Source organism: Homo sapiens, chromosome 17 (assembly GCF_000001405.40).
Source record: "Homo sapiens chromosome 17, GRCh38.p14 Primary Assembly".
Taxonomy (NCBI): Eukaryota; Metazoa; Chordata; class Mammalia; order Primates; family Hominidae; genus Homo; species Homo sapiens.
In genome coordinates, this window is record NC_000017.11 from 50532295 (window position 1) to 50545628 (window position 13334).

The following is a 13334-nucleotide window of genomic DNA, read 5'->3' on the forward strand; positions in this document are numbered from 1 at the left end:
AGGGGGAGGATGGACAGAAGGATCTGACTCCGTGTGGGAAAGGCAGGGAGGGGGCTGTGCTGGAGTCCTGATGCTCTCCTCCCCAAGAAGACGAGAAGACGGGGGCTCCACCAAAGAGCCAGCCCCAGGGAATGTCCCTGCCCTCTCCTTTAATGTCCTCCCGGCCCAGAGGAGGAAGGGGAGGGGTGTGGTGGGGGTGTTGGAGCCCCCCTCCTTTCCTGTTGAAGAGGCAGGGGAAGGGTTAACTCAAAGCAGAGGGGATCAGGTCGCCAGCACTGGCTCCAGATGTGCACTTCCTGGGGGCGGCCAACAGGCAGGCCCCCCACCTCTCAATGCACCACTTGCCTGGCCAGCAGGAAGGGGTTAACCTGCCCTGCACTTCCTCCTGTGTCCTGTTACTGCTGAGGCAGACCTGCCGGGCCAGCTGAGCAACTTTCCTCGGAGTGCTGCCTGGCGCTGGCTAGGAGGCAAACGCACGCGGGAAGAGCTGCTACCCATTCCAGGGACCCTGCCGCTGCCCCTCTGAGGGGTCTGCACCTCCTGGGAGCAGGTGGGTCTCTGGGACGAGGGTCCATGGTGGATGGCTCTGGAGACGCTCCCGAGGCTGTGCCGTCCCGCTGCTGCACAGGTCGGAGGGTCACCGCAGAGGCTACTCGGGCTGGGGCTGGGGCCGAGGGAGCCCGCACTGGAGGTAAGCTTCCTCCCTGGCCCCCTCCCTGGCAGTGGCGGCATGGAAGGCGGGGGTTGGTGGGGAGCAAACAGTGGTTCTGGGGCTTAGTCTCTTTTCCAGGTGCGAGGGAGAAGGCTGAGCTGTAGAGGACCTAAAGGCTTCTTTCCTGCCACCCCTCCCTCCCTGCCGCCCCCAAAAAGGGACTCAGGGCCCCCTCCCCAACCATCCTGGGACTTAGCATCTTTGGTGGCATCTTAGCATCTTTGGTGGCATTCCCCACAGACTCCTTCTGCACATCTCTGCTGTTTCCTCTTCTTCAGCCCCTCATGCACACCTCTAGCCTCAGGGCAGTCCCCCCTCCCCCATCTTCTGTGCTCCCGGGATGCAGCTATTACAGTGGCCAGAAGCTTAGAGTTCAAGCTCACCCCCTGTCCCTTACAGCATCAAGAAGGGCACTGTCATTCCCCACTGCTCAGGCTGGATCTGACTTGGAGGCAGGGGCTGGAGCCCACCTTAGCAGAGGACGGGAAGAGGGTGTGGGCTGGGCTGGTGGGTGCACAGACTTTACGCAAACTCATGCACGTGTGACTGGACAGATCTGGGTTCTCTCCATCTCTCCGAAACCCTTGCTGGGGATGAGCGATCTGCATTTTTCGGTCCTGACTTTTGGGAAACTCTCCAGATCCCCCCATCCTGCAGGCCCTGAGAAGAGCAGCCCCTCCCTACTGCGCAGTTCTCCTTGGGACCCTGTATGCAGGAGAGAGCTGATACTCCGTGCCCCGTGGCCCATCCCACCGCCTGCTGGCCCTGCTCCCATCCCCTCAGCTTCCTCCCTCCTCTGCCCTCTCGTCATCTCTGAATTCTCAGGCCCTGCCCTCTCTGTGCCCTTCCCTCCACCTGACAGGGTCTGGCTCAAGGTCACTGCAGTAATTCCATACCCAGCTGCCCAGGGCTGCTGCTGCTACCGCCACCGCCTTATCGGCCGCTGGGTTTCTGTTACACTCCCTTTTATTTCTGGGCATATCGTGTTCGATAAAACCCTTTGCTTGTAACACTGCTGGCAGCGCTCCCAGCTGCTCCCTCCCGCGTTCCCGCGTTCCTTCCTTTCCTCCTCCCTTCTCTGCGCTTGGGCAGGCTTCTTCCTTTCCTCCTCCCTTCTCTGCGCTTGGGCAGGCTTCTTCCTTTCCTCCTCCCTTCTCTGTGCTTGGGCAGCCTCACCTTGTCCCCTCAAACTCCAGAGAAGGAAAATCAAGGTGCCTCCCCATGTTTCTGGCCCCGCCCTTCCCCCCAGCCCCTGCAGGGGTGTGCAGAGAATGCCCACCTTCTGTGAGAAAGGTCCAGGCAGGGCCGCTGGGCCCACACCGAGAGTCCCCTCCCAGAGGCTGGTGCCCCCACACAGGCCAGGCCGGAGGGCCAGGGCAGCCAGGTCCAGGTAGGGCTCTGGTGCAGTCACAGTGCCCGACTGGTTCTGCTAGTTCCAGCGGCCAGCCGGTAGGGGCGTGTGCTGGGCGGGCTTTGGTGCACATTATTTCCCATCTTGACTCTGCCACCCCCAGCCACGGGTTGGGGAGGTGAAGGCAGGTCTGAGTCACTAGCAAGGGGGAGGGCAGGAGTTAAACAAGTTGTGGCCGTGGCATTCCCACAGAAGGCCCACGACCCGCTGGAAGGAAAGAGATAGCAGACAAAAGGTAGGCTGCGCTGTGGGCCAGGCACTCTCCACCTCGCCCACTCCCACGGTATCTTATTCTCTGGGCCCCCAACAAAACCTGCCAAGGCATGTTTTCAAAGCGTGGGGCTGCTTTGAACTGAGCCCAGCACTGGCGGGGCTGGGGTGGAAGGAGCGTGGAATCGGGTGCGAGAGGACAGTCTCCTTCAGATTCCTGCTTCTGGCAGCCTGGGGACCAGTTGGGGCACGGGCTGGGATGGAGGGTGGAGCCGAAAGGTGTTTGGTGGGTGGGGGACAGTTCACGGGTGAAGTGGAGGCTCTGCAGGCCCAGACAGTGTGTGTGTGCATGCACACACCAGTGCTAGTGTGGGAGGAATGGTGGTGGTCAGGGAATTCCTCTTTTGGTTTCTGAAAGGGCCTTTGGGAGGACCTTGGGCCTGGAGTTGTATTCAGCAGATAGCCTGGACCTGTGGCTACTGGGGGGAATTGGGCTGGCCCAGCTCTTCTCCCTGCTGGGGTACCAGAGGTCCACTATGTGTCCAGCGTTTTGGGGCTTTGGAGAACCCAGACTGTTCCTACTCTCAGGGAGCTTCCATTCTAGCTGAGAAGGTGGGACTGAGACAGTAAAGCAATCCGATGAAATAATGACCAAACTGGGTAACACTGACAATAAGAATTGGATTAGTCTTCTGGAGTCCTGGATGGTAGTCCAGGCTCTGCCACTTACGTGCCATATGATGCAGGCAGGTCCCATCCCCTCTCTGGCCTCAACACTTCCATGTGTACGTGGGGGTGGCATGCAGGAGTGTTGGCAGTGGCCAGAACTCTGAGGGGCAGTCTTCCTCAAACGATACTTGCTCTCTTGCCTTCTGGCCCAGGTCATAGCATTTCTTCTGAGCCGCCCTCCCCTGACTTGCTGGTTCACTCCTCCTTACTCTTCCCTTGTGATCTTGGATCTCAGCTCTGTCACCACCTCCTCTAGGAAGTCTCCCCTGATTTTCCTGGCTTGGGTCTTCCTGTGCGGCTCTGCACTCCCACACTGGACTGTGATTTTCTGTACCCTCTCAACTGAACGTGGGTGGACCAAGGCGTGTGTTCTGTGCCTGGCATGGTGCCTGGCTCAGAAAAGGCCTCCGGGAAATAGGTGTTGAATGCATCAAACTACAAAAATTAACAATATGAGAAAAGTGAGCTGAGGAGCTAGGAAGGATAGGTCTTAAGCTAGATCTCAGCAGAAACAGAGGCAGTGGCCGAGCAGAAGCAAGGCAAGCGGGCATTCCTGGAATCCTGTTAGCGTTCCCCCATGAGGCCATGCACTCTTAGGTGGGGCTTCCTGGGGTCATCTTGGTTCCCCATGCAGCAGCTCTGTGATCTCGGACAAGTCACTTAATATTACAGGGTCTCGCTCTGTTGCCCAGTGGCCTGACCATGGCTCACTGCAGCCTCCAACTACTGGCCTCAAGTGATCCTCTTGCCTTGGCCTCCTGAAGTCCTGGAATTACAGGCGTGAGCCACTGCACCGGGCCCATTTAATACTCTGAGCCCCACCTTTCCCATCTGTGGATGGAGGTAATGATAATAGCATCTTTGGGGTGTGGCTGTGAAGATAGATAGATGAGCATGCAAAGCTCCAAGTGCCTGCTGAATTGTAAGTGAAATAAGAACGTGTGCCGCTGAAGGCTGTCCCTGGAGGCAGGGACACTCTGGCCAGGCCTCATTTAGTTGGTCAGTGGCTGAGTGACCCATGAGGTAGGCCTCTGCCCCTGAGTTCCTGGCCCTCTCTTCCTCAGCCCCATGTGGAACCCAAGGATGCAGCTGCTCTGCTAACACGGCAGCCCATCCTTCAAGACTGTGACCTCGCCACAGTGGCCCTCAGCCCTCCACCTCCGGCGGGGGCGAGGGCCACCCACCTCCAAGTCTCCAGCCATGACGACCTCCGCACTCCGGCGCCAGGTGAAGAACATCGTGCACAACTACTCCGAGGCAGAAATCAAGGTGCGCGAGGCCACCAGCAATGACCCCTGGGGCCCCCCTAGTTCGCTCATGTCCGAGATCGCTGACCTGACCTTCAACACAGTGGCCTTCACCGAAGTCATGGGCATGCTGTGGCGGCGGCTCAATGACAGCGGCAAGAACTGGCGGCACGTGTACAAGGCTCTAACATTGCTGGACTACCTGCTCAAGACGGGCTCCGAGCGGGTGGCCCACCAGTGCCGCGAGAACCTCTACACCATCCAGACACTCAAGGACTTCCAGTACATCGACCGCGACGGCAAGGACCAGGGCGTCAACGTGCGCGAGAAGGTCAAGCAGGTGATGGCCCTGCTCAAGGATGAGGAGCGGCTGCGGCAGGAGCGAACCCACGCCCTCAAGACCAAGGAGCGCATGGCACTGGAGGGCATCGGCATTGGCAGTGGGCAGCTGGGCTTCAGCCGCCGCTACGGCGAGGACTACAGCCGCTCCCGGGGCTCCCCGTCCTCCTACAACTGTGAGTAAGCCCCGGTGTGTGGCTGGGATGGGGAGGTGGCCCGACTTCCATTCCTGGCTCTGCAATCCAAGCCATGGTTCATAATACCTACCTCCGAGGGGTGTTATGAAGATTCAGACATAAGGAATGTAACACGCAAGGCGCAACACCCGGCACATAGGAGGTGCTCAACAAGTTAGCTCAGATAATAACGTTGTTATAGATTCATTATCATTCGTTAGCTGCCTGATAGGATGGCGCGATAGTGGAAGCATGGGTTTGGAGTCAGATAGCATTCTATATTCTGCTTCCTCCAAGCTGTGTGACCTGGGCAACCAGTTCTCTGAACCTCAGTTTCCTCATCTGTACAGTGGGGATAAGCTCACCTACCTCCATTGTTTGATCTGAGAATGAAATGAGACCAGGTTCAGGAACGTCCTCTACCCTGCACCCAGACACATGGCATTCCCCTTCATCCCCCTACCTGAGGGCAGCGGCTAGACAGTCCCTGACTCTCCTGCCCCCAGTCATGGGGGCTTCCAGGATCTGAGGAATACTCAGAATGGCCCGCCTTCCATAAAGCCCTTGACAGTTTGCTGAGGGCTTTGAGGTTGTGACCTCGTTGGACTAGAACCTCCTATCCTTGCACCTCCCTTGCCCCCAAGCCAGGACAGGGTCCATCTGGAAGTCCAAGAGCTGGAGTCAGGGCACCTGGGTTCAAGTCCTGCTTCAGGAACCTGGTCAGGGGCCCTAAGTGCCGCCTGTGCATCTGCTAAGGAGGGACTGGAGCCGCCCCTCCATCCGGGATGGGTTGGGATGGGGAACTTACAGAGTGCCTGGCACACTGCTTGGCCCACGGGGGCCTCAACGGCCGTTGTTCCCCTCCTCTCAGTTCTCTTGAGCCTCAGCTTCCTGGCAGGCAGAGGGGTGTGGGAGCCGATGGGTAATCGTGTGGTCACAGAGACATGATGGTCATTGCAGCCTCCTCTTCGTCACCCCGCTATACCTCCGACCTGGAGCAGGCCCGGCCTCAGACGTCAGGGGAAGAGGAACTGCAGCTGCAGCTGGCCCTCGCCATGAGCCGTGAGGAGGCAGAGAAGGTGAGGCCATGCAGCCCCACTGCGGTGGGGAGGGGATGGGCTAGGGGGAGAGAGTGCCTGGGAGCCCCTTGGCCTTGACTCAGGCTCTGTCACCCAAAGCCCCAGTCCTGTGCCCAAGGACAGCACAAGACCCATTATCTCTGTCGGTTTGTCGCAGGCAGGGACTGCCTCCCTGCCTCCAGTCCTCTCCACTGGGCCTGGAAAGGGTGGCGAGTGTACAATTAGGGGCACATGCTATGTCTTGGGGTGCCTGCTACCACCTCATGGTGGAGTGGGTGAGTGTGCTCAGACATATTCCTAGGAGACACTGGGATATGCTTCCCACCCCCGCCCACCAGCTATCCTTTTGGGGAGACAAGGACAGGCCCCCGATATCATCATCTTTGCCATTACCTCTGTGGATCCAGGAAGACCAGGCAGGAAGCAGCTGGGCCTCACACAGGAGGGCCTGAGGAACTCTCAGAGGATTCAGAAGCGAAAGATCAGTCTTCCTGACCTTTAAACTGCATTTCAGATGCAGGCAGGGAGAAGGCCACGCCCACCCTGCTGACTGAGCGGCAAATGGCCCATGCACACTGAGGGTGGGCATTAGTGTCTCCATCCCCATGACCCAGGCAGGCCTATACTGCCCTTCTGGTCCCAAGGTGGGGGTACAGGGCCAAGTTTACCCCTCTCTTCCTCCGCAGCCTGTCCCCCCAGCCTCCCACAGGGACGAGGACCTGCAGCTGCAGCTGGCTCTGCGCCTGAGCCGGCAGGAGCACGAGAAGGTAGTGGGCCGAGCCCGCTGGGCTGCCGGTGCTGCTGCTGCTGCTGGTGGAGGTGCTTCAGGGCACTAACAGCCTCCTCCCGCTGTACCCGGTGGCCCTGCTGCTCCTAACCTCTCAGCTGCCTCCCACCCTGCACTCTCTCGACTCCAGCCTCTGGTGCACAGGTCCCCGGATTCCCGCCTGAGCTGCTCATGCTCCTAACTCTTTCTGTGCCTTCTGCAGGAGGTGAGGTCCTGGCAGGGTGATGGCTCCCCCATGGCCAATGGTGCAGGGGCCGTGGTCCACCATCAGCGGGACAGAGAGCCTGAGAGAGAAGAGAGAAAGGAGGAGGAGAAGCTAAAAACCAGCCAGGTAGGGAGTGGGCTGCGGTGCTTGGGATGGACAGGGCCTAAGAGATGGACTGAGTATTTGTAAAGAGAGAGCAGAGCAGTGCCTGGCATATAGTAAGCACTGATGTGTTTATTCGATGAAATAGGGGTGGGGGTGTAGCAGCCCTAGTCCCACATTGCATGGGCTGGTGACTGAGTTAACAGCAAAGTGGGATGCAAAAGGTTCCTGATTGGAGACCCCCGGATTCGGGTTCTGGATTTGCTGCCACTTACTCTATGACTTGGGGCATGTCACTGTCATGGCCTCAGTTTCCCCTTCTGCACAGTGTGCTTATTGGATAGTTCCAGCTCTGACATGCTAGGATTATGTGATACTGTCAATCAAGACTAGGGTTGGCCTAAGCACATGGTGCTGAAAACACCTCGGGCTCATGGACATATTTTCTCCGCATGGGGAGTGGGCAGCTGCTGAGTGCAAGGCTGCCCTCCAAAGCTGTCCATGCCACGCCCGGGTGCTGTGGTCTCCTTTCCGTCCATGTTCACTGTGGCCAGTTTCTCTTGGACACTGACCTAGGGAGGTAGGCTGGTTGAAAAACATCTGCCTTTGGCCTTCCTGCCCCTTTCTGCTGGCCTGGATTCTATCCCAGCTCTGCCTCTCCCTGGCTGTGTGACTTCAGGCAAACCCATTCCACCCTCTGTGCGCTGGCTGGCTCATCCATAAAATGGGTACATCATCTGCCCTACCTACCTCACAGGGTTGTTATGAAAATCAGGTACTCTGTGGATGAAGAAACATTATAAACTGTAAAGCACTGTGCAGAGGTGAGGGATCATGAATAGGTATCTGTGGAATGAATAAAGAGAATGAACTGGCATTAGCCTGACAGGTCAGGGCCTGCCCTCCCTCCAGGCCCCGCCCACTTCTGAGCCGCGGCTGCCTCTCCCCTCCACAGTCCTCCATCCTGGACTTGGCTGACATCTTCGTACCTGCCCTGGCCCCGCCCTCCACACACTGCTCTGCTGACCCATGGGACATCCCAGGTGGGCATGCAGGGCTGCAAGAGACTTCCAGGCTGGCCCAAGAGCCTCCTCCTTCCCAGCCACTTGCTGGGCCAAGCACCTCCTCCCAAAATCTGAGTGTCACCGGGCAAGTCACTCACCACCTTGAGCCTCCGCCGCCTGTGGGACAGGCTTTCGTAGTGAGGGCTATGGAGAATGTCTGAAGGGCCCAGCTCCTAGGAAACGCAGCAAAATGTTCTCTCGCTGCACTCACTTGCTCAGCACGCCTGGGAAGGTGGCCTGAGTCGCCCACACCTGCAGGTCCCAGTTCCTGGGGTCACTTGTCAAATAGGGGCTCCAGCCTGCTGGGTGGTCCTGAGGCTGCAGGCCATCTGTGACATGGATCTTCTGCCTCCCAACTTGGGCTGGGTAACTGGGAAGGGCCCTGGGCGAGGGATAAGGGTGGGCCTGGGATCATGTCTATGCTGTTCCCATTTCAGGTTTTAGGCCGAACACAGAGGCCAGTGGATCCTCCTGGGGGCCTTCTGCAGACCCCTGGTCTCCGATCCCCTCAGGAACCGTCCTGTCCCGAAGCCAGCCCTGGGATCTGACTCCCATGCTCTCCTCCTCTGAGCCCTGGGGCAGGACCCCAGTGCTGCCTGCTGGGCCCCCCACCACAGACCCCTGGGCCCTGAACTCTCCCCACCACAAACTCCCCAGCACTGGGGCTGACCCTTGGGGAGCCTCCCTGGAGACCTCCGACACACCTGGTAAGAAGAGGGCCAGAGAGTGTGAGTGAGGAGCTGGGGGACTTCCAGGCAGGGCCAAGGGGCAGCAGATACTGTTTGTGTTAGGAGGACAGCTTCTCTGGAAAGGGGTCAGACCAACACCTGCCCTTTTTGTCAACCCATCTCCTCTTCCTCTCTCTCTTCCGAGGTGGTGCCTCGACCTTTGACCCATTTGCCAAACCTCCAGAATCCACAGAGACCAAGGAGGGGCTGGAGCAGGCCCTGCCCTCTGGGAAGCCCAGCAGCCCTGTGGGTGAGCAGGGCAAGGGGATGGTGAGGCTCTGGGGAATGAGGGGCCCACCCCGAGCAGCCTCTGTCCTCTTCCTCCCACGTCGGGCGCCAATCCCTTTCCCCACCAATTAGCTCTAGCATTTCTATTCCAGAGCTGGACCTGTTTGGAGACCCCAGCCCCAGTTCCAAGCAAAATGGCACGAAGGAGCCAGATGCCCTGGACCTGGGCATACTAGGGGAAGCACTAACCCAGCCAAGCAAAGAGGCCCGAGCTTGCCGGACTCCCGAGTCCTTCCTGGGTCCCTCAGCTTCCTCCTTGGTCAACCTTGACTCGTTGGTCAAGGCACCCCAGGTTGCAAAGACCCGGAACCCCTTCCTGACAGGTAAGATATGCCCTTGTCCCTCAACCCAGGGGCTCCTGCTTTCAGAGCCTAGCCTCCGCCGGAGGAGCCCACTCTTCTTCCCAACTTCCACGACCTCCCGGTGTAGGGCTCTGAACCCCGGGTCACTCAAAGCCACTCTCGTTCTGCAGGTCTCAGCGCTCCGTCCCCCACCAACCCGTTCGGCGCGGGCGAGCCGGGCAGGCCGACGCTAAACCAGATGCGCACCGGCTCGCCGGCGCTGGGCCTGGCAGGCGGGCCTGTGGGGGCGCCCCTGGGCTCCATGACCTACAGCGCCTCTCTGCCCCTCCCGCTCAGCAGCGTGCCAGCTGGCTTGACCCTCCCCGCCTCGGTTAGCGTCTTCCCGCAGGCCGGAGCCTTCGCACCGCAGCCGCTGCTGCCCACGCCGAGCTCAGCCGGGCCGCGGCCCCCGCCCCCGCAGACCGGCACCAACCCCTTCCTCTGAGCCCCGCCCCGTCCCATACCGGCCTGCGCCTGCGCCGGACGCTCCGCGGCCCCGCCTCCGGACCCGGGGCTGGGCGGGGCGCCGGTGCTAGTGGAACGCCGAGCCAGTGGCGGCTGGTATCCCGCGGCGGCTCTGGAAGCTGGACGCGGACCACGGCCCGGGAGCTAGAAACTGAACGCCCGCATAATAAAGACTGGAACCCTCGTTCTCAGCTCTCACCAAGTGGACTTTTTGCGGGGTGTGGCGGCCGGGTCTCGACCACAGCGTGGATCACCGGCTGTTTAGGAAACTGCAGCTGCACAACGTGGGGTGCAAAACTGCCCCGCTTCCTTTACAGCTCTTCTCAACCCTCACCTCCATCCCCCGTCACCCAGGCACCTTCGCTTCCAGATGCTGCCAGGCTGTCACTCAATTCGGTCATTTCATTCATTTATCACACATGGGCACTGGGGTTGGGCTAACAGCAAGAGACAATAGGCCTTTGTTCCTATTTATTGGGTACTGCTTACGTGCTAAGCAGATCAGTTTATTTAATGCTTGCAACGACTCTCTGAGGTAGAAAATATTGTTAATTCCGTTCAGGATCCCGGCTACATAATCTGTGGGGCTCAATACAAAATAAAAATGTAGGGGCTCCTTGTTCAAAATCGTATGAAGAATTTCAAAACAGGGACAACAGAGCATGAAACCAAGCGCAAAGCCCACTGCAGTGCGATTGCACAGGTATCTCACCTTGCAGCCGGCACTACTCCCATTTTTCAGGCAAGGAAACCGTGGCTCAGAGAGGTTGAATGGCATGCTCAAAGTCACAAAGCTGGCATGGGGCGGGGCTGGAACTCAAGAGTCAGACAGTCTGGCTCCAAGGCCTGGAGATCCCAGGCTGGGCCCCAGATTTAATTCAGCAAATATTGACTGACTGCTGTGGACAAAGTGCTGGGCTCACCTTGGAGGGATCCAACCTCCAGGAGCTCGAGCGCAGCAGGGTAGACAAGCCAGGGGCACGTGATGCGGCTGTGGCAGAAGCCAAGTGCAGGAGCTCCCAGGCTCCTTTGTTTTACTGAGTCACCTTAAATGTAACTCTGCCCTCTCCCTTGCTTCGCCAAGGCTAGCGAGAAACTCAGTCTTAGCCACACAGGAGGAATCGGACCCCTTCTGGGGGTTTATGTGGAGTCTGGGAAACCAAGGGTGGGGTGAGGCCTGGTACTCAATCCAGGAGGGGCCCCTATGACCACCCTCGCCTGTTTTTCTTCTCAATGCTCCCTGATCACTGGACCACTGGACACTGATGTGTCCTCAGTGCTTGGGGTCTGGCTCTGCAGGCAGCCTGCAGCCAGCCTCCATCCCCCTTTCAGGGACAAATGGCCTTCCACCAGAGTCGGTGAGTGGAGAGGCACAATGCCACTCCCCTTCCTGAGGTGGGGGTAGGGGAAGGGAGTCCCACAATGCAGTTACAAACAGGATGGACAAGAACACCTGCTCAGGAGTCAGACTTACAGGGTTCAAAGTTCTGCTCCAAGGTTTGACCCTAACAAGAATCACTTAGTAATAAGTGGTTATGCTCTGTGACCTTGAGTAAATTACTTACCCTCTCCATGTCTCTGTGCCTGCGTTTCCTTACTTGTCAAACGGGATCAGAAGTTTCTTCCTTGTGAGGTTACTATGTGGATGTCCCCAGGCGTGTCCATTCAGCTCAGAGTCCACCCTCTTCAAAGACTGACCATGAGGCACGAACCCATCATGGCTTTCACTCCTGGTTTTGCCAGGCAATACCCAGAGTCCAGCACCCATCTATTAATATCTTCTGCTGCACCCAAACCTGGGATGTTCCATCCTTCTTGGCCCCTGATCCACCCTTTGTGGCCCTGCCACCCAGGCTCTCTTCTTCTAAACTGGATCCCCCCGAGGACTCCCAAGGGGAGCTGTTTTGTTTCCCACAAAAAAAGTTGGCAGCCTTGCTTCCTGCCTCCCTCCTTATAAGACCCCTCCTGCTAGGAGGTTGGTGCCATAAGTCATTCTGTCTCTTCCCTGCCTGGGGCTGCCACTCCACCTCACTTTTGGGATGCTTCGGTCTTGGCTCATGGTCTTCTCATCCAGCTCTTACCTCAATTTCAAGTCGCTCCATTATCCAAGGACCTTATGGCCCCTTGACCTCTCAATGACCCTCACCATGGTCACACTTGGAGGTTTGTCATCACCCCAGATTCCTCTACATTCAAGGCAGGCTTCTGGCTCTCTGAGCTTAACCTCATTCCTTCTAGCCAGAACATGTTCTTTGGAGCACCCACTGGACCCTCCGGCTAGCCAACCCTTCCAACAACCCGCCACACCCCACATTCTCAGAGTCACCCAGGACCACCATCTCTTCTATCCTTGATGGCGTCCACCACTTTCTCTCAAACGAATCCTTCCCATCGAAATGTGTCTTAATTAGCTCCATCCATCTTGACAGTGTCTTCCCATCTATCCTCTCATGTCAAGCACCCATCATCTCTCTCTGTCTCCCCTCCCTTTCCTCTTCCTCCTCAGCCGACTCGGCAACTTCTGCTCTCAGCCTGACTTCACTAGAACGACGCCCACTAAGCACACCAATGGCCTCCATGTTGCTGAAGCCAGTGGACATTTTTCTGTCCCAGCCAGGCTGGCCCCTCAGGAGTCTGACATGTAGGCACTCTGTCCTTCATCTCTGGGGTGCTGTCCTTTGCACCCTGGCTGCTTCCCTTCTGTGTCTTTCTTTCTTTCTTTCTTTCTTCTTTTTTTGAGACAGAGTTTCGCTCTTGTTGCCCAGGCTGGGGTGCAATCATGAAATCTCGGCTCACCGCAACCTCCGCCTCCCGGGTTCAAGCGATTCTCCTGCCTCAGCCTCCCGAGTAGCAAGGATTACAGGCATGCGCCACCATGCCCGGCTAATTTTGTATTTTTAGTAGAGATGGGGGTTTCTCCATGTTGGTCAGGTTGGTCTAAAACTCCTGACCTCAGGTGATCCACCCTCCTCGGCCTCCCAAAGTGCTGGGATTACAGGCGTGAGCCACCATGCCCTGCCTCCATCTGTGTCTTTCACAGGCTTACTTAAGCCTGGACCTGAGCCCTCTTCTCTGCTCCTCTGCATGGTCTCCCTGGATCAGCTCCACACCCACATGGTCTCAACAGTCAAGACCCCCAATCCTCTCTCCTGAAGCCTCTCCTCTGTCCTCCAAGCAGTGTCATCTCTGCCTCCATGTGCACATCTCAAACCCACAGGTCCCACAATGAACCCCATGAGTTGTCCCCCCACCCCCACCCCATGCCCTCTCTTGAGGGAACGGCCCCACCTTGCAAGTCACCCTGGACACCGCCTTCTTTGTCGCCGCCCATCCTGACGACGTTTCCTCCTTGACCGACTTCCAGCCCATCCCTTTCTCTGCATCTCTGCTCCCCCATCTCCCCCTGGGTGCTGCTATAGCCTCCTATCTGCCCCTGCTTTCACTCTTGCCC

The 13334-nt window shown here is 58.1% G+C and overlaps 1 protein-coding gene and 1 long non-coding RNA gene across 2 annotated transcripts, besides 4 other annotated features; one reads left to right on the top strand and one right to left on the bottom strand.

Annotated features, from left to right (window-relative positions):
* Positions 1-440: 440 nt before the first annotated feature.
* Positions 441-11456, top strand: EPN3 (epsin 3). Its single transcript, NM_017957.3, has 10 exons — positions 441-691; positions 4127-4824; positions 5785-5903; positions 6590-6670; positions 6893-7021; positions 7953-8040; positions 8499-8768; positions 8935-9039; positions 9170-9400; positions 9550-11456. The coding sequence occupies exons 2-10, from the start codon at positions 4263-4265 to the stop codon at positions 9861-9863; spliced, it is 1899 nt and encodes a 632-aa protein (NP_060427.2). The 5' UTR covers positions 441-691; positions 4127-4262; the 3' UTR covers positions 9864-11456.
* Positions 1307-1983: an enhancer, noted in NCBI's record as "H3K4me1 hESC enhancer chr17:48610962-48611638 (GRCh37/hg19 assembly coordinates)". NCBI's record gives its function as "activates a minimal SCP1, AML or CMV promoter by ChIP-STARR-seq in primed H9 embryonic stem cells {active_cell/tissue: H9 hESC(primed)}" and the evidence as "EXISTENCE:reporter gene assay evidence [ECO:0000049][PMID:30033119]".
* Positions 1984-2660: an enhancer, noted in NCBI's record as "H3K4me1 hESC enhancer chr17:48611639-48612315 (GRCh37/hg19 assembly coordinates)". NCBI's record gives its function as "activates a minimal SCP1, AML or CMV promoter by ChIP-STARR-seq in primed H9 embryonic stem cells {active_cell/tissue: H9 hESC(primed)}" and the evidence as "EXISTENCE:reporter gene assay evidence [ECO:0000049][PMID:30033119]".
* Positions 5000-6460, bottom strand: LOC105371824 (uncharacterized). The gene is made up of 3 exons (NR_135675.1): positions 6297-6460; positions 5633-5867; positions 5000-5207 (listed from the first exon to the last, which is right to left on the bottom strand). It is a non-coding gene; the product is annotated as an uncharacterized LOC105371824 (long non-coding RNA).
* Positions 9586-10025: a silencer, noted in NCBI's record as "silent region_8703". NCBI's record gives its function as "represses an Ori minimal core promoter by ATAC-STARR-seq in GM12878 lymphoblastoid cells {active_cell/tissue: GM12878}" and the evidence as "EXISTENCE:reporter gene assay evidence [ECO:0000049][PMID:35858748]".
* Positions 10762-11262: an enhancer, noted in NCBI's record as "H3K4me1 hESC enhancer chr17:48620417-48620917 (GRCh37/hg19 assembly coordinates)". NCBI's record gives its function as "activates a minimal SCP1, AML or CMV promoter by ChIP-STARR-seq in naive H9 embryonic stem cells {active_cell/tissue: H9 hESC(naive)}" and the evidence as "EXISTENCE:reporter gene assay evidence [ECO:0000049][PMID:30033119]".
* Positions 11457-13334: the final 1878 nt, after the last annotated feature.